The following is a 26,775-nucleotide window of genomic DNA, read 5'->3' as shown; positions in this document are numbered from 1 at the left end:
GGAGCATTTTTAGCTACAGAGATATAATCAGCAATAGTAGCAAAGGCATTTTCTGAGGTCCCAGTGGACCATCTATTTTTAGGATTGTGGATGTGAGCATGCCACACAATGATTACCATTCTTCACACCATTTGGAGGGATCATATATTGCACTGATGTCAGTCTTAACCCTGAGTGCTCTTTACAATGGTGTGTGTGTGGGAGGTGATATATGATTGGGACACATAACCAGTGCTCATAGGGTAAGAGTTATTCCACTGAGTTACTGTCAACCACAGCTCATGCTGTAGTTGAGAAACACAATTCCATCTGAGACATACAGATAGCTTTGGTTTGAGACACATGATCCAGGGCTACTGAAAAGAGGATCCCTGTTTGTCATTCCTGTCTCACAATGCAAATTATTGAAACTTCTGATTGAAACTTGAATTGAGGTGAGGATTCTCCCACTTTGGCCTGGCTTGCTTGGTTTGGAGTTCTCATTAGTAACAAGGGAGAATGAGTTGAAGTTTTCTTCTCAGTTTGACCAGATGAGGCATAGAAAGTGAAGTAGGAGCTGGGGCTGGAAAGGAGTCAGCAGTCAAACTCCAAGAATGGAGTCAGACTTCTTATTACACATGGGTGATGGGGGAGGGGTGGGGCTGGTAAGTAGAATGAAGGGGACTACCATTTTTAAATTTTGCTTTTTAGAACTTTTTGACTGAATAAAAACCTATTTGTAGGTATTATTTTAAGTCTTGAAAATGATTTTTTCTAAAAGAGAAAAGAGCATGGGCTCTGAAATCAATCTGACCTACATTTAAACACAAGCCCTACAGCTCATTATGTGTGCAAAGGAGACAAATTACCTCACACTGCATTAGTTTCTGTTGTCTCATCTATAAAATAAGTGTAATAGCTGTTCCTTTAAATGAAAGCTTTAAGTGGAAACTTTTATAACTTTAAATTGAATAAAAGTGCCTGGATAATGATAAAGTCTCAATATTATCAGGTTGTGCATTTGAATGAATGAAAAAGAAAAACAAAACCAAATCAACATAAAACTTTAAACATTTCCATAAATGTAAAATTAATAGAATAAAACTTTAATATCATCATGCTAATGTTAATCCATGTTGTATGATATATTTACCTTTTTAACCAATTGGTGTTTTCTTAGATATTAAAGAGGAGGAAAAATCATACCAAGTTATCAGGTGGTTTTCACCTGAAGATCATCAAAAAAGAATTAAGAAGCATTTTGATAGCTACATAGAAACAGCATTGGATGGCAGGTAACTTCTTTTCATTCTATGAAGCAAAGAGTCACTATTTTAGTGATACAAATGAATAGAGAGATGCATGATATTTGGAGTGAGTTTTAGAGAAATAGATGGGTGGGTGATGGATAGATGGAGAAATAGATGATGTGTGAGTGGATGAATGGATAGATGGATGGACAGTTGGATAAATGAGGGGATGGAGAAATAGAGGACAGCTGGGTGGTTGAGTGGATAGAGTAGACAAGGTTTGCATTCCCAACAATTGAGTCTATAGTGTCCTTCTTCTACCGTAAGGGTTCTATAGAAAGCAGGGGATTGCTCCTCTGAGCCTTGCTTACAACACTTCACCTATAATCTCTGTATGCATTCTCCCCAACAAAGAAGCTAGGATCTTCAACTCTTTTGTTTGTCAAGAAAAAAGAAACACCTATTCTCACTTATTTTCCCTCCTTGTCCTCTCATAAATTCACTAATGGAGAAAACTCTTATGAACATTGATTTTTCACACCTTGAACCTTCACCTTTTAAACTCCTTAAAAACAATCAAATGCCATGATGGTATACAATGAGAGATGAGCCTGAGACTTCTTGCCCTCACCTGGAATACAAAGAATCTCCTTCATCTGCCACATAAAAGAGGAGAAACACAAATCCATGCCATTCTTAGTTAATTATAGTGGCTTCATCCTCTTTGCTTTCCTTGAAAATTCTACTCAGTAGTCAAGGTGGTGCTCAAATCTAATTATTCCATAAAGCTTGCTTCCTCACTCAAGCTGGAAGACCACTTTCTCTCCTCCATAGGTCTGGCATATAGCACTCATTTGATACTTAGTCTATGGCATCTTGTGTTGTTACATATTTTTAAAGTATATGTGTTGTCTCTTCTCTTCCAGCTTGATTTCTTTGAAGACAGGTTCCAGATACATGTTAAATATTTTCTAAGTTACTGGGATCAGTGCCTTCCTGTGATTTTTTCAATTTATTTACTTGAAATATGATTAATGTTATACTTTTGGGAAGTTCATACTGTATATATTGAATTTATCCACAATATTTAAAAATCATTCTTTATGTAAAATTTTTTTTAAAAAATGAAATAGTGGATAATTTCAGAGAATCACCATTGTTGTAATTTAAAGTTGATTCTTAAGAACAGGCAGAGATCTGCATATCACTCATGAGTTCTAAACCTGTAGGCCTTCTTTATGTGAAGTGACATGATATGATGGTGTCTGGGTTACAGGCTTGCTGGGCTATTGCTTCTTCCATTCTTCATGTGATTAGGAGGTCTGTGGTCTCCAGAGCACCTGTACCTATTACCACTGCTCAGGATCTATTTCATCTCTTCTTCTGTATTCTATACAAACAGGATCATTTTCCATGCAAGCAATTATGGGAAGACATTGAAGGGCAGTAGCTTCTGGAATAGTGCCATAGGGAAGAGTCTTAACTAGGTGTCAGTAAAACTTTAGCATGTTCCAGCCAGCATGAAGTGAAAGACTGATAATAAATTTCAAACCAGGCTTTTATTTTTATTTTATTTTTTACTGTTTAACTCCTAGGCTAGGAAGAAAAATCTCGTTTCAGCTGAGATTTTGGATTCTAATATTGTCATCAAAAAGTTCACTGCATGAGACAATCTGTCAAATGCAAGATACACAGTATTTTTAAAAAGACTACATCATCAATATTTAAGGAGCCTGTCAAATTACTTACATAGATTTCTGGAGAAAAGACAGTCACTCACAAAAAGTCAGTATATAAATGAAGGTTAACAGAGCATCACAGGATTTATAAAGGAGACATATAACTCTGAGATCTGCTGTGGTCAGAGATGGCTCCCAGAGTAGGACGTTGAATTGGCATTGATGGTGGTGGGAATTGGATCAGGGGAAGAAATAGGATGGGAGCAAGTGGGGACATTTTAGAGAGCAGAAATATCTGGACCAGAGTGACCAGAGCTGAGAGTATTTGTTGAAACATTGTAGAATGGGTTGATGGATACTGGTTATATTCTTAACATACCTGAAATATTTTTTTGAGTCTAACATTCTCCCAAATACTGTAAAATTACACTTTCCCAAATATTTATTATTTATTTTCTTTATTACAGAAAAGAATCTGAAGCCCTTGTAAAGCTAATGGAAATATTTGGGACTCAATGTAGTTATTTGCTAAGCAGAAAGGATATAATGGATTCCTTAAAGAATGAGAACTATGATCTGGTATTTGTTGAAGCATTTGATTTCTGTTCTTTCCTGATTGCTGAGAAGCTTGTGAAACCATTTGTGGCCATTCTTCCCACCACATTCGGCTCTTTGGATTTTGGGCTACCAAGCCCCTTGTCTTATGTTCCAGTATTCCCTTCCTTGCTGACTGATCACATGGACTTCTGGGGCCGAGTGAAGAATTTTCTGATGTTCTTTAGTTTCTCCAGGAGCCAATGGGACATGCAGTCTACATTTGACAACACCATCAAGGAGCATTTCCCAGAAGGCTCTAGGCCAGTTTTGTCTCATCTTCTACTGAAAGCAGAGTTGTGGTTTGTTAACTCTGATTTTGCCTTTGATTTTGCCCGGCCCCTGCTTCCCAACACTGTTTATATTGGAGGCTTGATGGAAAAACCTATTAAACCAGTACCACAAGTAAGTGAACCCTCAGCATTCAGTTTGGGATTCACATAGAGTCCTTGGGTGCATAGTTGGTGGCTGCCACCTGCCAGTGGGATCCTGAGGTTGAAGTAGGGATTGGCAAAGGAGGCACCTAGGGCACGTTCTTAAAGGAAGTGCTGACTTTCAGGGTTTGGCAAGTACAGTGTCAGGCCTTGCAGGATCCTGAGATAGAGATCTCCTTAAATTGGCTCCTCTCTTGCCATGCCCTGGTCTTAGAATCAGTGGGATGAGCCCTTTAATTAAAGTTGCTATTTTCATTTTAATTTTTATGTTGTGTGATTATGTGTAAAATAAATACGTAGTTAGTGCCCATTACATGCAATAATTGTTAAGGAGATGAGCTACTCACAGTGAAACAGACAACACTGTGGTTTCGGGGTAAGCAGGGTGGGACTGCATGGGACTGACAGCAAGAACTGACAGTGTTATCTCCAGTGTTCCCTGCCTGTAGAGCCCTGGCTCCTGGTTCCACCTAGACTTTCTGACTTGATTTGTCTGGGGTGGGCCCCTGCCATTGTAATTTGTAAATGCTGCCTGGGTGATTCAAACAGCGCAGACTCAGAACCACTGCTATAGAAGATTTTCAAAGGGAGGAGAGCTGAAATGAGTTGGCAGCCTGTTGCCTCTGAGCACTGGGTTCCCATTTTACAGAAGTTATTATATTTAGTATCTTGACATCTATAGGGAGGTGTGTTCATCTCCATTTTTATTAATGGAGGAGGACAGAAGCACAGGTGATGTAGGTGACCTTCCCACCACTGTGTAGTGCAGAGGCCACGAGACCCTGGATTTGGCCTGGACTTTCCAGGTACGAAAGTGACTGTTCTTCCTTCCCTGATCTTATATTGAGTAAACAGGAAGAGTTGGGGAATGATCTATGGATGAGATGGACTTTGCATTGGTGGTAGGTGTATTTAGGAATGGAGCTGGGAGGGAAAGCACCCCAGGTCAGGGAGCGGGGGACCTAACATGTGGAGGTGCAAGTGAGATGGCCATAGCACTGGGTTCTCTGGGTGACGCTGGCTAGATTAGTGTAGTAGAAGATTCAATTGCATGAATAAAACCATGGGGATTTAATTGAGGTCTTAGCTACCAGGAGGGTGGGTCAGGTCTTCGCATTGGGGCAGTTGTGGAAATTGTTAGGAAGAGAATAATGGGAGTTGAGATTATGAGATAACAGATGCTTGTTTTCAAATATTTTTTCTCTTTTTGATTATTTTAATTGTGGACAAATATTTATAATATAAAATATACCACTTTAACCATTTTTAAGGGTATGCTTCAGTGGCATTGAGTACACTTATATTGTTGTGCAACTAACTATCGTTACCATCTGTCTCCAAAACATTTTTTTATCTTCCCAAATTGAAACTTCCTATGCATTAAACAATATGTTAAATAGAATGAGCATTTGGCTCAGCCACTAAAGGTGCGATTCAGAACAAAGTGGTTTCCATTTTTTGTTAGAGGTGCCATCCCCACCCCCCATTCCGACAACTACAGGCATGAGCAGTGCACAGCACCTCTCCTTAACCCCTCCCTTCCCAGCTCGGTACCTGGCTGTGTCCACAGCATGTACAAGCCATGCCCAACAGCCACAAGGGGTGGGAAAAAACTGGGCCTGCCATTGTGGCCCCATGAACCAGCTGGCCAGCGCCTCCCAGTGGAACTTTTTCTCCCCTGGCCAAGGAGTTCAGCCTGGCCTGAACCGGGGGAAGGCTATAATGATTAAAGGAACCTATTTGCACAGAGCAAGAGGTTCTTTCCCCAGGACCTCCCCTTTTTGCCCCTTAAGCTGTGTTTTTCTTTCTTTTATTTTTTTCCTTTTCTAATCGAGAGGGTTCCTTTTCCCAGCACGCTGCTTCTGATAGAGAAAATAATGGAGGAGCGACCCCTGCTGGCTGATAACTGCAAATTCGGCAGGGCCCATTTGAGACAATCTAAACAAGATACATGCAGCCCCTGAAATCCGTTTTTGTCCCAAACTCAATTCCAGGTTTCAGGCTGAGGGCCTAGAAAGGAAAACCCGATCTGCCCGATCTGAGGGATCAAAAGTCAGGCAACAGGCACAATGTAAATGGGCAGGACAAATTCCTGCTGACTAAACCCCCACTTCATGGAGGGAGGCCATGCTCCAGGCATAAATGAGGCCCAGGGAACTCAAAGGTTTTCAACAGCAGGGGAAATAGAGGCATAGGTGAGGGGAGATAATTCCTATTCTCTAGCCCCACCCTGCTTCACGGGTGCAGACCACAGTGGCACCTGTGGGTGGCATCCATAAAGTTGCCAGGACTCAGGGACAACAGATGGAAGAGAAAGTCCCTTGCTTTCTCTCTCCCTCACACCCTGAGTTTTCATTGAAAGAAGGAAGGGAAATGAGGGACACCTCTATTTCCCTGTCTTTCAGAATGGGCAACCAGCTCTCTTCACCACCCCCAGCTTATTCTCCTCTGGAGTGTATCCTGAACCACTGAGATGGCTTTGACCCTCAGAATCTGGAGGAAAAACACCTCCTAGCCTGTGTATCCTGAACCACTGAGTCTGCTTTGACCCTCAGAATCTGGAGGAAAAACACCTCCTAGCCCTCGGAACAAAGGTTTGGCCAAATTATGAAGGACTGGCTTGGTCTCAGGAAGGAACCATTCATTGTGATACCATCTGGCAGCTGGACATTTTCTGTAGGCGTGAGGACGAATGGCCTGAGGCCCCACATGTGCAGGCTTTTTATACCTTGCAGGGAAATCTAGATCTTTGCTGACAGTGTAGGATTGATCCAGCCCTCCTGCTTTGTCATTTCAGGAGAGGCTGCAAAGGGCAATTCCAGGGAACTAAAGAAACAAATCCCAGAGGCACTCCCAGCAGAGAAGCCAGCTCCCTCCAGCTCTGCTCCTCTGGGTCCACCTCAACCTCTCTATCCAGCTTCAGTCTCTCGCTTGCCTAATCCTAGAAATCCTCACCCTAGACAAGCCCCAGTCTCACTCCTCCTCTTCCAACAGATGCCAGGTGAATTTGGCCCCAGTAAGGTGCAGGTCTCCTTCCCCCTACAGGACTTAAAGTACATTAAGGGGGATTTTTGGCAAGTTTTCACATGACCCTGACAGATAGATAGAGGCTTTCCAGAATTTAACCCAGGTATTTGAACTCTCTTGGAGAGACATTGTGTTACTTTTGAATCAGATCCTGATGAACACTGAGAAGCAGGCTGCTCTGCAAGTAGCAGAGAGATTTGGGGATGAGCTTTGTTTCACATATAGTGTCAGGAAAGGGGGCAAACTTTATCCGACTGGAAGAGAAGCAGTACCAGTAAATGACCCTGGATGGGATGGATCCCAGTGTTGAAATGGGAGACTGGAAGAGGAGATACTTTCAGGTATGCATCATGGAGGGATTACGTAGGACTAAGACCAAGCCTCTTGATTATAGCAAGCTATCTATGATAGACCAGGGATTTAATGAAAATCCCACTGCCTTCTTGGAGAGGCTAAGAGGGGCCTTGGTAAAGCATACCCCCGTATCTTCTGATTCAGTGAAGGGACAACTAATTCTGAAGAATAAATTTATTACTCAGACAGCCCCTGATATCAGGAGGAAGTTGCAGAAATGGGCCCTGGGACCAGATAATACTTTAGAGGTCTAACTGAAAGTGGCCATCTTTGCCTTTTACAATAGAGATGGGGGACACAAGAAAGAGGCAGAAGCATTAATGGTCACCATGCAAGCCCATAAACCCCAGAATTCCCAGGGTACACTTGTTAATTGCTACAGATGTGGCAAGAACAGTTGTCTCTCTTCTAAAGTTGAACCGCTTCTATACAAGGTTTAATTTCTTTCACCAGGGTGAAACAGCTCAAAGCAGAATGGTTTTAGTATTTTCACTTGTTATTTCTGTGATCTTTGGCACTAGATTATTTTCTTGTATAATACACTTGTTTAACCCATGCCTACTTAACCTTATAAAACTTGTTTTTTCCTCTCACTTAGAGGCCATCAAACTCCAAATGGTCAGGCAACCGGAGCCTCGGACAACGGCTCCCTTTTGCAAGGACCCTTAGATAAACCTCTGGGAGGAATCTGACTGCTGTTTTCTCCAAAATAGTGCCACCTGTCAGCAGAAATTAGCTAAGATTGGCCATCGTCCATATTCTAATGGCAGTTAGATTTGCCTCTGCAGAGAGGGGAGATGATACGGCTAGGAGACAGAGAAATACTGGGTAGAAGAGGGCAGTTCCCTGGCAAAGGTCCCAATTTCAAGCCTGGAAACCTCTGGCCCTAACTGAGAACATGCATTCCTGTTTTCACACACAAAAGTTGCCTTTTGGCTCTCCACACGCCCCTCTCCTGTACTCATATAAATCTGAGACCTCAGGTTCCAGAAGCAGATGAAAAGGAGATGAACAGAAGAGCAGAAGAATGGCATAATGGTGTGGCAGAGAGAAGAGAAGGAGAGTCTGAACACCAAGAGGAGTTCAGCTGGGGGCGATTGGAGAGGAGATCAGCCACTGGATGGCTGAACTCCAGGAAGACCATCTTCCCATTCCGTCTCCTTTCCAGCTCCCCATGCATCCCATCCCCACCACTCAATAAAACCCCCACATTCACCATCTTCAAGTCTATGTGTGACCTGGTTCTTTCTGGATGCCAGACAAGAACCTGGGTACCAAGAGGGCGTTGAGCTGGTTAACACTTAAGCCGTCTGTAGATTGCAAAGCTAAAAGAGTGCACTGTAACACACACCATGCTCACGTGGGCTTTAGGAGTTGCAGGCACCCACCCTTATATACTGCTGTGGGGCCAGAGCCCCAAAGCACTCACCCAGGCTCATGCACCTGCCCGTCTGCATGCTCCCCCTTCTGTAAGGAGTTTGAGCAGCAGCGGAGGCTGCGGCCAAACTGACAAGCCACACCCTTGTCACATACCCTGTGAGGGGGGGTCAGGGAACTTTCCCATTTCACTGTCATCAAAATTTATTTGACCATAATGCAAAAGTCTATTTCCGGGCTCAGTCTTCTATTCCACTGGTCCATGTGTCTATCTTTATGGCAGTACTACACTACTTGGATTACTGTAACTTTGTAATATGTTTTGAAATCAGCAATTGTGAGAACTTCTTCTCTGCTCTTTTTCAATATTATTTTGAATATTCAGGGTTCTTGATATTTCTTACACATTTTAGAATGATTTTTCTGTTGCAAAAGAAGTTATTGGGATTTTGATAGGGTTTGTATAGAATATGTACATCCCTTTGGATTGTACATATTTGACATCTTAATAAGTGTCCCAATTCATGAAGCCAGAATGCCTTTCCATTTTTGTGTGTGTGTCTACTTTCTTTCAGCAAAATGTTCATGTTTTAAATGTAAAATCTTTCACCTCCTTGGTTAAGTTTATTTTATTCTCTCTGATATTATTGTTGAAATTGTTTTCCTAATTTCTTTTTTGATTTGTTCATTGTTAGTGTATGGAAATGCAGCTGACTTTGGAGACTTGACTTTTTTCCTTCGACTTTGCTGAATTTGTTTATTAGTTCTAATAGATTTTTAATCTTTAGTGTGTGTGTGTGTATGTTATTTTTAAAGTTTTACATATATAGAATCATGTTATCTGCCATTATTTCTTCAAATAGCCTTTCTTTCCCTTTCATTTTCTCTCGTAGTGCACATATTGATCCACATGATAATGTCCTATTGTCCCTTACATTTTGTTCATTCTTTTTTTCTTTTTCTTTCTCAGACTTGACAATTTCAAATAATTTGTCTTCAAGTTCACTGATTATTTCTTTTGCCCACGAGAAAAAAATTCAATTTAATGATTTCATATTTGAGCTCCAAAAATTTCCTGTTTTAAATTGAAAGCTTTCTCTTTGTTGATATTCTAAATGTGTTTACATATTGTTTTTCTTGTTTACTTTAGTTTTTTTCCCATGTTTTCCATGAGCTCCTTGGGCATATTTAAGAGAGTTTCTTTAAAAATATTTGTGTAGTAAGTCCAATGCCTGTGTTTCTTTAGGAAGGGTTTCTGGATATTTATTTTGTTTTTCAAAATTATGCATTTTGACTATTTCTTTGTATGCCTTGTGATCTTTTGTTGAAAATTGGACATTTGAACAATTAGTTACTTCTGTCAGTCTTTGCAGTCTGGCATGGAAGAGCATGTTTTGAGTGTTTTGATCAAGATTAAGGTCTTCTCAGGTATTTTTTGGTTATGTGTCTCATCTGGACTTTTGTGTGTGCTTTTCTTCCTCCAATTCCCTCTGTATGCTCAACTGTTTTTGAATGCCTTAATTTCCCAATGAACCTCGCCCAGACTCTTCTTGGACTTTAGATGTTCTATTATATTCTTCTGTCCATAACTTCTTGACCCAAGCCTTCATAGGTCTGCAGTATCCCTTAAGCTTTCATACGTCATGGTACCTACCACTGCTTTCTATGACTTCTGTCAGCTTGAAATCTGAGCTATGTCACCATTCCCAGTGTGAGCTCTGAATTAGGTGAGACAAACCAGTCACTAAGTAGCCAACAGACAGGTTAGAATGTTGTAAATAGTTTCTATTCTGCTCCTTCTGGCTGAGGGAAAGAATGCACAATTGAGCTTTTGCCTGTGGACTGTGGTCTGCCACTCCAGGGCAAAGGTAAATAAAATGGATTAGAAATTTATACTGTTTGAAAGTGGCTTTTTCTTGATTGGGCATTTGGTTGCTTGCTGTGTATCTTTGACTGGTTTTCAAAACTCTACGGAGTCATTTGAGTCAGTCTCCAGTTGATTTTCAAATGTTTCTCTGAAAGAACAAGGGCATGCGGCTGCTGATTAACATTATTGCTCTGCTTCTTTTGATTTTATATAATGATTTTATAATTACAAGAACAACAAAGCTGTTTTCAGTTTGTTAATTGAGATGGTAGTTCAGGCAGTGTTATGCTGGATGGAATCAAGTTATCCTACACAATGACCCAGTAGAATGAGGGGCTCAGGACTAGAGACAGTCACAAAAATGCTGAGAGAGGAAGAGTCTGAAGAAATGTTTGGAAGTAATAATTGATGAAACAGTGCTAGAGCTAAGTTTTAGGGCATTAGATCATAATCTTTCTTAAGAATTACCTGAGGACAAAAATAGGCTAGGTAGCTATGCAAATATCAGACAAAATAGACTATATGTCAAAAATATTTACAAGAGACAAAGAAAGGCATTACACAATATAAAATTTTATGTTTGCATTCACATAATTATAATATTATAAGTATCATTTAAAAATAATATATGAAATATCATCAACAATATATAAGAGCTATAAATATATATGCACCAAACAACAGAGCACCAAAATATGTGAAGCAATAATTGATGGAATTGAGGATGAAATAGACATTACTACAGCAATAGCTTGGGACTTCGATACCCCATTTTTAGTAATGGAAAGATTATCTACACAAATGATCAATAAAGAAAGAGTTATCTTGAACACCATCATAAACCAACTGGACCTAATAGAAATTTAGAGAATACTCCACCCAACAACAGCAGACTACACCTTCTTCTCAAATGCACACAGAATATTCCCCAAGATAGTCCGTATGTTAGGCTACAATATAAATCTCAATTCATTTCAGAAGACTGAACTCATCAAAGCGTTTTCTGTGATCCCAATAGGATGAGCTAGACATCAATAACAGGAACAAAAACTTAAAAAAATCACAAATTTATAATTTATATGCAAAAACGTGTCCTCAGGTATCAGAAAAATGACTTCTAGGTCATCCAGACACAATATGAGCACAGTGCAGAGGTCACTGAGCTGTGCCAGGAGCCATAATAATAGCTTCGGGAGAGTGAAGACAAGGCACTGATGGGAGGGTATGTTTAGTAAATAGACTGGGTTTCATTTCATGGACACTTAGGCGTTCTCAATTTTGCCACCTCCTTTCTTTTGTCATCTCTCTCTAGGACTTGGACAACTTCATTGCCAACTTTGGGGATGCAGGGTTTGTCCTTGTGGCCTTTGGCTCCATGTTGAACACCCATCAGTCCCAGGAAGTCCTCAAGAAGATGCACAATGCCTTTGCCCACCTCCCTCAAGGAGTGATATGGACATGTCAGAGTTCTCATTGGCCCAGAGATGTTCATTTGGCCACAAATGTGAAAATTGTGGACTGGCTTCCTCAGAGTGACCTCCTGGGTAAGGACTGCTTAGGTCTGCTCTTCTCTTTCCATTGACCTGCCTTTGGTGCTCGTCAGTGTTCTGACCTCTAGCTGGGCATTTGTATCAGCCTACGTAGTAGCTACTCATAGGTAAAGGTAATGCTCAGAGGACAGGAAAAGAACAGCCAGCTGGAATTCTTTGGGAATCAGGCTGTACTTCAAAAATGGTGAAAACAGCCACTTTCTCTTTTTCTTTCTAACCCAAGCGAGGCCTGAAGTTTCCAACCAGAGGTGATATGTATGTGGTCATGTTGCCTTGACCCTACTACATTTGACACTGAACAGAGTCACCCCAACACAATCTAAGATAATATGTAAACTCCAAGAGCATATATCTGGGAGTATGTTGCCCCTGTTCTGTGGCCTTCTGACCACCTGTTTAGTAATGTGCCATTACACAAACACACGTATACCTATATAAATACATCTTTTTATCTACTAAGGATGTGAAAGACTCATACATTCACAACATTGATGCCAACATTATCTGAAGGATGTGCCACAATATTAGTGCCAAGCTGAGTAATCACATAGCCAGGTATTGAGTCATTTGGTAACAGAGCTCCTTACAGTTCAATAGGTTTTACTGTCCTTGTGATACTTTTTGGAGACCTCTCACTGACATCCTCAGTGACTGGATCAGAGATTCATAACTAAGTTTATGGCTCAAAGTCAGCTTGGTAAATTAAGATACAGGTTTCTGTATATTTAATTTATAAGACATGGGACAAGGAAAAATATTTTCATTTTCAAAGGAACACAAGTAGATTCGAATCCACATTTCTGTTGAGAAACACAGATTTAACTCTTCATTATCAAAAGTCACTAGCTTGCTCTAAATAAGGGTGGGACAGGCAGACAGGAACTAGAAATACGGAAGTAGAAGTGTATGGTTTATTATTCCTTGCTTTCACAGCATTCTTCAAATGGAGAAAACAGCACATACAGTGTAGGTACTATGAAGCAACAGAGAGCAGGAAGTAAATGGAGAGATGAGGTGAAGAGAGAAGGATGGCTGCATGGATGGAGAAATATGCCTTGCTTATCATTCTTCTCTCCAGCTTTCCCTGCATTCAGAGTCTTAGATGGATTGGGGCTGAGGTGAGGAATCTCTACAGAAAGGGAGGCTTGAATCTTGTATCCTGGAATGTTCACACTTGTGTGTCCCAAGCAAAATCAGTGAATTCATTTTCTCAACAGACCTTGATTTCATTGGTGTTTCATCTGACTTTTCTGCTTTACCTGGTATTCCAAAATTTTTCATCCTGAAGTGTTCCACTCTCTTTCTTATTTGCCACAGCTCACCCCAGCATCCGTCTTTTTGTCACTCATGGTGGGCAGAACAGCGTAATGGAGGCCATCCGTCATGGTGTGCCCATGGTGGGATTACCAGTCAATGGAGACCAGCATGGAAACATGGTCCGAGTAGTAGCCAAAAATTATGGTGTCTCTATCCGGTTGAATCAGGTCACAGCCGACACACTGACACTTACAATGAAACAAGTCATAGAAGACAAGAGGTATGTGGCTCTCTAAGCATGTGGTCACTAAGGCTGAATGAAGATAGAAAACACAAGGGATACTGTGTATGTATTTTTCACAATAATAGCTGAAACTTCTGTGACATGGAATAACATGTGTGTGATGCTAACAGCCCACCTGTTTTCTCTGGTAAGTCTCTAGGAAGACTAATTTAGGTTAGATGCTGAGAATTACTTTCCTACCTTAAGGCTGTGATGGCGACAAATTATATACACATGATCTCTTTGACTGATCTTATATTTGGGAGTCCCTCTAGTGGAATTCCAACTGAAGCGGGGGGTTTCTTTGTGTGTTTCCCCAGTGTGCCTGCTCTTCTCACCTCTGGCTTCTTCGTCTGTGCTGCTCCCTAGAACACCCTTCCCTTCTCTTCACAGGACTGGCTCCTTCATGACATTTGGGTCTCTTCTCCAATGTTTCTTCCATAGACAGGGTTGTGTCTTTGACAATCCTAACTAGCCTCCTCTCCCACTCAGCCTAATCATAATATACTATTTCCTTCCTAACACTTTTCAAGATTTGTAATGACTCCATTTATTTATGTTTTTATTAATTGTCTGGCCCCCAACACAAAAGAGTAGAGAGTCAGCTTCATAAGTACAGCAATGTCTCTCTCTTTTTTTCAACTCTGTTCCCAGTGCTTACTGCAGAGCCTGCCACAAAATAAGTTTCCATGAATTTCAGTTAAGTGAGGAAATAAAAGCGGCATAGTGACCTTCTTGGTTACTGCCCATCCAGCCAATGATCTTATAATCAAGAAGGACTGAATACCTTATTATGGTTTCAGAAACACAAACCCTGAATCAGGTACATATTCTCTCATATATGGTCATATATATTTTTTCCTTTAGTATACCATAAGCATCCTAGGGATATGGACTAGTTCTTAGAGATTTAATCACTTTCCTACAGTTTAACACTTTTAGAATTAATCATTGGTCTTTGTATGTGGGTGTTTTTATTGAACTTTTCAAGAGGATTCAGTGAGACCGTGGCAAGGCCATGCCAACAAATTTTCTTTGCAGCCCAGCCTTGGTGCATGTGTTAGAAAAGTGTTTGTATGCTTGTGTGTGTGCTCATGCAATACAAAGTCTGTAAGACTTGTGAGGCTACGTCAGTAACACACCCTCTCTGTCTCCGCCAACAGGTACAAGTCGGCAGTGGTGGCAGCCAGTGTCATCCTGCACTCTCAGCCCCTGAGCCCCGCACAGCGGCTGGTGGGCTGGATCGACCACATCCTCCAGACTGGGGGAGCGACGCACCTCAAGCCCTATGCCTTCCAGCAGCCTTGGCATGAGCAGTACCTCATTGATGTCTTTGTGTTTCTGCTGGGGCTCACTCTGGGCACTATGTGGCTTTGTGGGAAGCTGCTGGGTGTGGTGGCCAGGTGGCTGCGTGGGGCCAGGAAGGTGAAGAAGACATGAGGCTAGGTGTAGCCTTGGGTGAGGGGAGGGCATCCCTGGTCCTTTGAAGGTTCTCCCCACCCCAGCACACGCCACCCCTCTGTTCTCTCTTCAGCTCCACCTGCCACTGATCCTGCAACTTGCTTCTTTCTATTCTCTGCCTCTGTTTAGAAATCTTCACGCACCACTGAGGCTTCTTGACTTGCCCCTTGTGACTTGAAACCCCAGCTCAGATACAAATTTTCACCTGCCAGCCCTGCCTCCTCCTTTCTCCCTTTTCCTAGACACAGGACTCTGACAACTTCATCCTCCTTGTTTAGATGACTTCCCAGTTTCCAGTCCCCATTTCTCCTTCTATCACTTTTCATAAAAAAACTCAGGAAATATTTGACATATCTTCCATTTCAAATTCTTCCATTTTATGCAGATATCTTGCCCTTCCTATAAGCTCTCCTCAAAGCTCAGGAAACCTGGTCTGCTCTCCTGCATTTAGGGAAGGAGAACCCCTGCCAAGACCTTTGCTCACTGCCTGAGACCCCTTCCTTAGAGAGCACCTCCTTTGCTGGTCAGACATGGAGCCTGCAGTTGGTCACAGATGATACTGCTTTATTTCAGTTTTTACAGTTGTCTTCTTAAGATTCCCGTCTTATAAATGGAGTACAGGGAACCTCAAGTAGTGAAGTGGAAATCCATGTGTAAGGCTTTGTGGCTTCAGGTACCAGTGGCTAAGGTAGTTTTAAAGACTTTGTTGATTTTAGAAAAAGTCCATCTTCCATCCCCGACATGGCAGTTAATACCCTTCTATATGGTAAAACCTTAGAGATTACCTTAATCTGCTAGGAACAGAAGCAAGAAAAACCATGGCGTAAACACCCCCAGAGTTTTTGTTCATTTGTTTCATCTTTCTTGATAAAGCCCGAAGGTAGCCCATTCAGGGCTGTTGTGGTTGGTTGCTCCATCATGTCATCAATAGCCCATATCTTTTCTTTTTTATCTTCCTTAGTGTAACACCAAACTACCTCTCTGATAGCTGGTGTTCATGAAATATTTTACCTTCAAATGATTGTACCTTTTTATTTGCTTTAGAGTTCTGAAATAAAATGAAATTCCACTGTAATAAAACTGTCAAATGCATGGTGTCTGATGAGTTAAAAACACAGAGTAGAAAACAGGCATATGGAGAGGCCCTGGATGAACCATAGTTTTAGATTGTTTAATTCTAGAATTGTGAAACAGATCTTGAAACAATTCAGATCAAAAGATGAAACTGTTACAAATGCTCCTGCAGAAATAGAGAATGCCCCCCACCAAAAACTTTGCCAATTCCATGAAAGGATTTGCTTGCGAGTCTGCAGAGCTGAGTGCTGGATGTCTATCCATTTTGTGAGTTCTCATGACACAAGAGCCAGAAGCATGAAGCACGCAGAAGTACATTAGAGTGTGTGTATCTGTGTGCGTATAATACAAGGTTTTATTGCTGTAATTCTTATGAAACCACATGAATTGATTGATGGCCATACTCCCATGAAGGGCAGACATGGATGCTTCCCTGTGTTTTCTGTTGAATCAACAGCCATGATTTCATTCCCCTCATGAGCAACATAAGGTCTTAGGGATAAGCCTCCCTGGCCAGTAACTCCCCCCTCACCCCAGAACATAGCCTTTCTCTAACACTTGGTAATTCATTGAGGTCAACTTTATGCCACTTGTATAAACTTGCATCCCTAAAATCTGATCATAAGCAGCCAATGAGCCAGAATGATGCTTCTAATCTTGCTCTGTCCAAGCACCCTCCACAGGGCTGCAAGCATGGCTCTGACAACCTAGAAATCTGGTGTTATCCCTCACTGTTTAAAATCTTTGTTCCCATTGTGTGGAATATAAGGGCTCTATGATTTGGTCCTGGCTACCAATCTAGGCACACCTGGAGCAGTTCTCCTCCCACTCTTTTCCAAATGTTCGCTACACCCCCTCAGAACACATTTTGCTGTTTTTAACCTCTGAGGTTTGTCTATGCCCTTCCTTCTCTCAGAAATACCATCCTATTCTTGCTGGAATGAGAAACTTCTGCTTATCTGTCAGTATCCAGTGTCATTGTGTTCACATTGGTAAGCCTGTGCCTGACCACTACACCTGAAATGGAGCTCACTGCATTCTCTTTTGAAGCATTTTTCTTACTATATCGCAATTATTTATTACAATATCTGTTTCCTATTTAGAAACCATAAGGTCATAAAGACAGGGACTGGTTCCTATTTATCTTGTTATAGAACCTGGCATAGTGCCTGGAACAAATACTGCTAGGACAACTGGATAATATTGAGAAAAAAGGCAATATTTGATCCAGACTTCACACTATATCAAAAACTGAATTCCTATACACCAGATATCTAGGTACAAAAAATGATACCATGCTGAGTCTAAGAGAAAAAGTGAATTTTTCCATAGCCTGTGTATAGGGAGAGACTTTCTAAATAGGAAGAAAAAATCCTGATACAACAAGAGAAGTGTAAATTAATTTGACACAAAAAACTTTGGCATGGCAAAAATCATGGTAAGAAGATTAGCGATCCAAATTAAAAAGTTGGAGAAACATAGCTGCAGCATATATCTTACACATAGACCTAATATTTCTGATAAACTAAGAACTATTAAAATTGAAGAAAGAACCTATGATACATATACATACTGAAATAATATTCAGCTTTAAACTACAATAAACAAAAGCAGAATAAGCTAATATGGAGCAAATTCCAATATGGTTAAGTAAAAAATAGCAAAGAGTAAGAGTAACTATAGGATGTATCCTTTTTTTTATAAGAAAAAGGAAAGTATGTGTATGGGGGATAATGAAAAAAATACATATCTATGTGCATTGCCTTGCAAAAACAGTGCAGAGGGAATAAACCAGAGTGTGATAGATTATCTATGAGGGTGGTGTTTGAATAGGGTGGAAGGATCCATGTGTTTATGTTTTTACATAGTTTGGATTTTGGAAACGTTAATATTTTGCATACCAAGTATATGTTTAAATAAACAAGGAGAGAAAAGCCAAGAACTGAAATACAAACGGAAACAAATGAAATCAATTTTTTCCAAATGAAAATGTAACTATACTGTAGTGAAAAAAATTAGCATCATTACCTTTTAAACACAGTACTTTTACTATATACTGTATACAATCAATCAACAGAAAAAAAAAAGAACTCCAAACGAATCTTGTAGTCTATTGAGTAATTGTGTTATTCTCAGTTGGCAAATTAGTGTATCTGAACCTAATTTCTGTACTTGCTAAGATTGAGTAAATGCATCAATGACAGTGAGATTCAGGTTTCTTATTTTGGAAAAAGGAATTAGAAATGTGAGGAAGGGGAAGATTAGAATAACCCCTGTAGTGTTGTATTGGAATTAGAGTTATCAGTATAAATTTATAATTTTTCATAATACAAATATAAATATAGGTATAGGGAGAAATATAGGTATGTATTCTTTATACCCACATTTATATATTTATGTTTCTTAGCTCTGTCTATGGAAGAGGAATTACAAACAGTGGCACTTCATTAGCAATGAACACACCTAGGCAACATACCCTGTTTCTGAATATCACTCCTCACTAAAAGGTTTCCTTAGGAAATTGTAGGTTCTAAAATTGGGACAGGGAAAGTGCAAGATAAGCCTAGAGCATCATGTGCAAGAAAGAAATAAAAAGCTCCAAAATAATGGAGCTTCCACAGGAGCAACACTATGAACAATGACAGTAATAGTTTATATCTTACTGAATAAATAAGAATTCAAGAGATAATACTGATAATTAAATAGATTACATAGATAGATAGATAGGACTGAAGACAAATGTTAAAACAAAATGTGATATAAAACATAGAAGGGATGTTAGAGTTTAAAAAGCATTAATTTGTCACCGTCATCTTGATAATTGATTCAGAGAAGAATCCTAAAGGATGATAAAATGTGAGTGGAAGTTTGATAAGGAATAGGATGCTTATACAGTTTCAAATTAATTACTAATTATAGGTGGAAAATAGTAACTTTACGGTTGAGAATTTTGGTGGACATGACCTTAGCCAAATGATCAAATTCAGTATCGCGAATAATGGGACCATCTCAGGTCATGTGCCTTCTACTGTGATTCACTGAGATAGAGATGATGTACCTTTGTAGCATTTTCAGCAAAACTACACAACACAAAGTGTAATGAAAAATCATCAGACAAATCCAAACTGAGAACCATTCTACAAAATAAATGGCCTGTATACTTCAAAATGTCAGTGACATGAAAGACAAAGAAAGGCTGAGAAATCAGTCTTTACTGAAGGGATGAAATCTTCAGGATAACCAAATGCCCTGAATAATCCTGGATTAAATTTTGCACCAGAAAAATAATATTACCACATACCACATTGGATGTTATTGGGACAATTGGCTAAATTTGAATAAGGTCTATAGATAAGATAATGTTATTATATCCATGCTAAATGGTACCTTCGTCATGAAGATTGTTTGACTGGGAGGCTACAATATCTGAAATATAATAATTGTCAACATGTATGCATGTAATGCCATGGCTTCAAAGAGTATAGCACAAAAATGCAGAGAACTACAAGAAAAAAATTGAATAATGTGAAGAGAGTTTTAAAAGCTTTACAGTGAAAAATTTCTAATATTTATAAATGCAGTACTTGGGCTGAGCACGGTGGCTCATGCCTGTAATCCCAGCACTTTGGGAGGCCGAAGCTTGCAGATCACGAGGTCAGGAGATCGAGACCATCCTGGCTAACACGGTGAAACCCTGTCTCTACTAAAAAAAAAAAAAAAAAAAACCACAAAAAATTAACCAGGCGTGGTGGCGGGCGTCTGAAGTCCCAGCTACTCAGGAGGCTGAGGCAGGAGAATGGCGTGAACCCGGGAGGCGGAGGTTGCAGTGAGCCGAGACCGCGCCACTGCACTCCAGCCTGGGTGACAGAGTGAGACTCCGTCTCAAAAAAAAAAAAAAAAAAAGGCAGTACTTGGTGTCTCCCATCCAGCCTCAATGATTACCAACTCCTGGCTGATACAGTTTGGCTCTGTGTCCCCACTCAAATCTCATGTTGCATTGTAATCCCCAATTTTGGAGAAGGGACCTGGTGGGAGGTGATTGAATCATGGGGGCTGATTTCACCCTTGCTATTCTCATGACAGTGAATGAGTTCACATGAGATCTGGTTGTTTGAAAGTGTGTAGCACTTCCCCCTTCACTCTTTCTCTCTCCATGCTCTAGCCCTGTGAGACATGCCTGCTTTCCCTTCACCTTCCACCATGATTGTAAGTTTCCTTAGCACCCCCAGCCATGCTTCCTGTAATAGCCTGTGGAACCATGAGTCAATTAAACTTCTTTTCTTTCTAAATCACCCGGTCTCAGGTAGTTCTTTATAGCAGTGTGAGAATGGACTACTACGTTGGCCAACTTTCTTTATACTTTCAGTGCCCCCACTCATTTTCCATTCCTTGTCACCCAAAGAATTTTGAAGCAAATTCCAGATATCATAGCATTTCATCGGTAAATATTTTAGAATGTATCTCTGAGAGTCTCTCTTTTTCCATACCACAGTAACATTATAACACATCCTTAAATCAACAGTAACCTCTTAATATCAAATACTCATTGTTCAGAACTCTCTGACAGGGATATGAGATTTTTAAGAGTTCAGTTGAATCACCCTGATACCCCACCCTTCATGTGTCCTTCCATGTTATTTATCACCAACACACCACATATTTGATTTATTTATTTTGTTATCATTTGACTCCCCCACAAGGATGTAAGTTCTGGGAGGCAGGTGTTTTGTCTTTGTTGTTCAATGCACTCCGTGCAGCAACTAAACAGTGCCTCACAGATGATTACCTATTAGTATGCTTGTTGAGTTAAAGAATAAGTTTAGGATGAGAAAACAAATTCTCTGTTTGCTAATGCATTATTGGAGGTCCAAAAATACTAAATGGGCTGGAGCCTTGTGATGCCTGGTAAAGACCTACCCCTGCCCTCTGCACCAGCTCCTCAGTGACCAATGGACATGGTTGTGTTGCAGAAATGTCTAAGGATGCAATACTTTAAATTCAGATTTTTTTTTTAAAAAAAGGCTTATAGACAGAAGATATGTAATAGTGCAAAGCAGAATTCAAGGGCCCACTTTATCGTGTAGGCATTGAAGGACTTTCTCTGTCATTTTGTTGTTTGTTTGTTTTTTAGATACAGGATCTCAATATGTTGCTTAGGCTGGCCTCAAACTCCTGGGCTCCAGCCATCCTCATGCTTCAGCTTCCTGAGTAGCTGGGATGACAGGTGCATGCTATGGTGCCTGGCTCTGCCTGTTTGAGAATTGCACTGAAATCCTTTATTAAAGGCAGCATTATATTGAGGATGGGGAATGCAAAGATGATATTTGGGAGTAGTGTGCCCACCCCTTGCCAGGGCTGACATTTCAAGGGGGTAAAATTGTAGGCTGTCTTCAAATTGTCCCTGAGAAGACTGTGGAAAAAGCACCAATTCTATTTTATACTTATTCAGGATTATAATGTAAACTTTAGAGACTTATGCTTTCAATGAAGAAATGAAAATACAAGGGGGCTTAACCCGTTTGGACACTAGAATCATTTTATGGATATGATATCTTCTAAGGAGGCTGCCTGAGTAATAATCGTAGGCCATTTCCCCTTTGTAGATCATTATCTTTTGGGGATTGGCTTCCAGAGTTCTTGAGCTTGCGACACTAGCTAGAAATTTTATGCAGGTATCGGGGGAAATGAAGCATAGGGATGTCAGTATAAGGTTACGAAAGTTGTCAGAATCAAAATGGAGTTACCTGTGTTAAAACCCTGATCAGTGGAGCCAGGGAAGGCGGTGAAGGGAGGTTCTCACACAGTATCCCTAATAACAAGAACTATTACGTAAGACTGTAAAAACTACAACCTTGGTTAGGCCACTGCACCCTTACACAAAAGAATACTTCTGTGAGGATATCTGTCCAGCAACTGCCTATCCTACCTTGGACTGATGTCACCCTTGTTATTGAGGCTTCTAGCCAAGGATAATTGTCTAAAAATGACCTGTGTAACCCTCTTCATTTTTCATTTAAAAAGCCTTATTGTCTTCCTTTATCTCCCTGAATATGCCCATGTGTATTCCCACTGGAATGACCATTTCTTTTAAAGAAGGTCTCCAAAAGGTTTCTTTTAGAGAGAGCGTCTCTCAATGTAAGCTATTTGGGTTTGACAAGGTCATCAGAATAAGAAAGGAAGTGTGGCACCATAAGGTCAAGGAAGGATCCATAAAAGGGAGATGGGTTCTCGTCACCTCAAGCTGCAGCTGTCATCCACGTGATTTCTTAGGGTCCCTAGTGTTCTTGGTTCATACTGATTTCCAGGAGGGGAGAGTGGTGCTTACATGGTTAGGGCAGGGTTCAGGGTTCAGTTCACCAATCCCCCCTTTCCACTGCCGTTGGTTTGGGAGAGTGAGAATAGGGTATCTAACTGATCATGAATTGAGTAAGAAGGGGCAGAGGGTGAGAGGGAACAGACAGAAGAGAAGATAGACAGGCTCTCCTCTCCTACCTCTTCTCAAGCCTATAGACAGTGCCTTTGGTGCACAGGGTCCCTTAAGCGTGTGCAGAGCACACAGCCTAAGGGCTGGGTTCTGGGGCTTCTGCAGGAGTGCGCATGGCTGGGCAGCTGGGCTCTGCTCCTAGTGGGCTTCCTTCTCTTTGGGATTCTGCTCTCAGAGGCTGCCAAAATCCTGACAGCATCGACACTGGGTGAGTGCTTGGCGGGAAAATGCAGAGACAAGCATGTTCCAGGCACCGCGCATGGGCACTGGCAGTTCTGTCAGAGGGTCATCCAGGTAGTTTTCCACGCTGGGCTGGTGTCTCGGGCTGGAAAAGGAAGAGAGAGGCTGGCAGGGGCCGTGGAGCCAAGAAGGGCCTCTAACCAAGGGTGGAAAAGACAGTTCTGGAGAAAACGGAAGTTTCCTTTCTTCTCTCCAGCTCTGGACGTGCGCTGCGTCGCGCAAGGCTGGAGCCAGCATTTAATTTCCCAGTCCAATACGTTCGCCCCGGGCCTCCTTCCTCAGTGCTGGATAGACGTTTCGTTGCTCATTCGTTTCTTCTAAGGGGGTGCACGGTAGCTGTCAATAGAAATTGTAGCAAGCATTTTCAGGCTCTTAAAGACCGAGGAAACGTGCTCCTGGGCGTGTCACAGCAAATTGGGGTTGTTTTCGTCCAAAGGAAATCCGGAGAACTGACTGGGGCGACGAGAGGACCCCTGGACAATTGGGTCTTTGGAAGCCCTTTTATCTTTCATTCAAGCTCCTGGAAAGGTTTTGAAGGATAAGTGGGGCAGTTAGTTTTGCATTTTGTGCCCCTATTTTTATTTCTTTTACTTTTACCCCCAAAGGAATAGAAGATAAAAGAGAAAATATATCAAGGGAAAGGAGGGAGCTCCCCAAGACCCTTCTTAAGCCCATCCTGAAAGGACGGTGGGCTCTCTCTTAGATCAGTTTAAGATCATTGAGAATCTGGGATTCCTGGAGCTGGATGAAACCAAGGAGTTCATTTAATTCGGCCTTTCCCTTTTGTTTTCCTAAGGGGGATACTAAGGATTAAGGAAATGCAGGCACCGTTTGCAAGAGCGCACCCAGCTTTCCTAATGGCCCATGAGGAGTTGAATCAAGATTCCTTACTCCGAGTCAGGCCCGGTGGCTCACGCCTGTAATCCCAGCACTTTGGGAGGCCGAGGTGGCTGGATCACCTGTCAGAAGTTTGAGACTAGACTGACCAATATGGTGAAACCCTGTCTCTACTAAAAATACAAAAATTAGCCGGACGTGGTGGTGTATGCCTGTAGTCCCAGCTATTCGGGAGGCTGAGGCAGGAGAATCGATTGAACCCGGGAGGTGGAGGATGCAGTGAGCCGAGATTGTGCCACTGCACTCCAGCCTGAGCGACAGAGTGTCACTCCATCTCAAAGCAACAACAACAAAAGCAGTTTTAGAAAGCTGTGACTCCGTGTTAATCTTTTTTTGCGTGTTCTTTTTTCCTGATCATTAGGAGAAATTAAAAGCTCATCTCTTCAATTACACGTTTCCCTGCCTCAGACTTCAAGAGGGAGTTGATGTGGTTTGTGAGGTGCTAAAATCCCAGGGTTTGTCCTAGAATGCACTCTGGCTCGAGACCCACCATGAATGGATGCATGTGTGGTCACCCCTTCTCTCTGCTTCTTACATGGATAAAATGCAAGTAAGAGCAGGCAGTCTGAGGGGTAGGGGATTTTCACTTTATATATTCCTTATTACCTCAGACCACACAAGTGTGGGTGTTAAAAATAGTCACTCCCACAGATACACACTATTTCTCTAGCACCACAGCCTCCACTTCGAATCCAATGGCTATGGGACTTCAGCTCCCAAATAACACTTGCTTCTAATTTTTGGCTATTGCCATACCTTCTTTCCTGATCTGGCTTTCTCTGCTGCCAAGACTCTTAGATTCAAGAAAAAAGCCCATGTTGAAGCATGGTTTAGGAGAAGACATATGTAAAATTAAATGATTCAAACTTAGAGCTGTTGAAACTTTAACTTACTCTGAGCCTTGAGAGGAATGTGAGTTACACAGCATGCAGTCAAGTAGCATGCAGCTACAATTTATGCTTCTCTGATTATAGATTAACCTCCTTCCTTATTCTTCTGTGATAATTAGGAAGACCAAGAGGTGCCAGAGATAAGACTCCCTCAGGTCCTAGCCCCTTCTTAAGCAGTAACAAAGTAATCTTCCTGGGGATGTAGCAATCTGTAAACAATCAAATCGCTGTAATGTATACACTGGCCTTGTATGGCAAATGTTGTAATACTGCTAAAACTTCTCTGTTCCTACCTTTTAAGTGAAATCTTAACTTCTCCATTTCAGAACACTGACCCCATTTGTTTGGAGTCAGTGTTTTCTGGGTGGTCATCCTCAAGTTTTGCACTTGAATAAACTCTATACCTAATCATGTTTTCTAAATGTCATTATGTAAGGTTGACACATTAGTGTGATGGAACTTGTACCTCTCCTGAGAATCAAACTTTTCTTTCCTTAGGATGCCAAGATTGTTCTAGAATGGGCGACGTCCTAGTCTCTCTTGCAACTAACAGTTGCAAGAGAGACTAGGACGTCGCCCATTCTAGAACAATCCCACAATTTTCCTGAATGTCCTAATTTAACTTTGCACAAAATTCAGGCCCCAAATAAGAAACATCCTGCCAAATATTGAAAGTAATGGCAAAACCGCAATTACTTTTCCACCAACCTAATACATTTCAATCTCAAGGATTTTGGCTGTAAGTGTTGACTACATATTTCTCCCTCCAATGGAAGTTTCTTGGACTCACCCTTTAGCTCCTATATTTCTATTTCCTAAAGTAACATAAAATTCCAAAGTGAAGGATCCCAGAAATAGCCCTGATTGGTTGTCCATCAAGAATCCTTCAACTCACATTCACAGCTCTGTACCATATTTTCCACCAATGCAGTTATTTCTTTTGGACACAGTATCTCCATAAATTCTCTGATTAGAATGCAACATGTATCTTGGAATAAGACATGCCTAATGTCTGAGCACAGAGAAGAAGCTCATCACACTGACATGGAGACCACGAGTCAGAGAAGAAATCTTTGGTGGAAGATTGCCACAGATCAGGGATTTGGGCAGTTGGAATATAGGTACCTGGGCTGGGGCTTACCCAAAGTGAAATGGAAGAACTGGTGAAGCTTATCTTCATGTGTTCACTATTTCACTTCTTGTTTCCTAGGCTGTTTTCTCCTGGCTTTCCCCCATACCTCCACAAACCCCTGTCATGTGGGCTGCACCAAGCAAAATCATAGGGGTGGAATTGCCTGAGGCCTTGAGGGCTCAATCCTAGCCCAGTGTGTCCAGGAGGTGGCACATGGAGTCAAAAGAGATTATTCTCTAGCTTTAAAATTTAATGTCTGCCTGCTGAGTTTTGGTCTTACTTGGAGCCTGTTACTTTTGTTGGGAAAGGGAGCATGGAAGGGTGCTCTTTCTCACTTTTGGAATAGGAATGTCTGTCTTATGCCGTATCACCATTGTATCTTAGAAGTTGTTACCTTATTTTGATTTTACAGGTTCACAGATGAGACTCTGGATTTTGGACTACTGAGTTGATGCTGAAACCAGTTAAGACTTTGGAATTAGAGGGTTGGAATGAATGTATTTGTATGTGATAAGGACATGAGTTTTTGGAGGGCAGGGACAGAATGTTGTGGCTTGACTGTGATTTTCTTTTATCCGACCATCCCTGGATTTAGGTCTAGTAATCATCGGCTGATTGCCATATTGTTTTTATCAATGATCTAGTATAAAACAGGTTGATCCAACCAAATTCAGATTCCTTTAAAAAGATGGTTTTTAAAGACAATGTTTGAGATTTTTTTCGGACCTAAGAAGGGCCCCTCCCAGCTGTCTCTTTTCCCAGTTTCCTCTGGCAAGTTAGTCACCCTACAGTTTCACTTGTATCTCCAATGAATCTACCCATCGCCTACCAACTGCCTTTCACAGCTAAGTCCACCGTTTCTTTGTTTTTTTCTGTTTGAGTTCTCTTAGGCTGGAACCACTCCATAGTTTTTGTTGAAGATAGAGCCAATTCCTTTGCAAAGTCT

The 26,775-nt window shown here is 41.2% G+C and overlaps 1 protein-coding gene across 10 annotated transcripts in view; it reads left to right on the top strand.

The window, feature by feature from the left end:
- UGT3A1 (UDP glycosyltransferase family 3 member A1) overlaps nt 1-18,287 on the top strand; it is a 50,017-nt gene extending 31,730 nt beyond the window's left edge. For 8 of the 10 annotated variants that reach the window (XM_047416709.1, XM_047416708.1, XM_011513957.3 and 5 more), the window contains 5 exons: nt 1,160-1,274; nt 3,376-3,907; nt 11,874-12,105; nt 13,429-13,648; nt 14,815-18,287. In XM_047416709.1, the coding sequence (XP_047272665.1) occupies nt 3,404-3,907; nt 11,874-12,105; nt 13,429-13,648; nt 14,815-15,091 (1,233 nt within the window). In that variant the 5' untranslated portion in view covers nt 1,160-1,274; nt 3,376-3,403 and the 3' untranslated portion in view covers nt 15,092-18,287. Of the gene's footprint in view, nt 1-1,159; nt 1,275-3,375; nt 3,908-6,341; nt 8,538-11,873; nt 12,106-13,428; nt 13,649-14,814 lie in introns of those variants that run through there. The other 2 variants (NM_001171873.2, XM_047416710.1) reach the window with 2 other exon arrangements.
- The last annotated feature ends 8,488 nt before the right edge of the window (nt 18,288-26,775 follow it).

The sequence above is a fragment of the Homo sapiens genome, chromosome 5, assembly GCF_000001405.40.
Source record: "Homo sapiens chromosome 5, GRCh38.p14 Primary Assembly".
Taxonomy (NCBI): domain Eukaryota; kingdom Metazoa; phylum Chordata; class Mammalia; order Primates; family Hominidae; genus Homo; species Homo sapiens.
The sequence above is the reverse complement of the archived record's forward strand: the minus strand, read 5'-3'. Positions and strand labels throughout refer to the sequence as shown.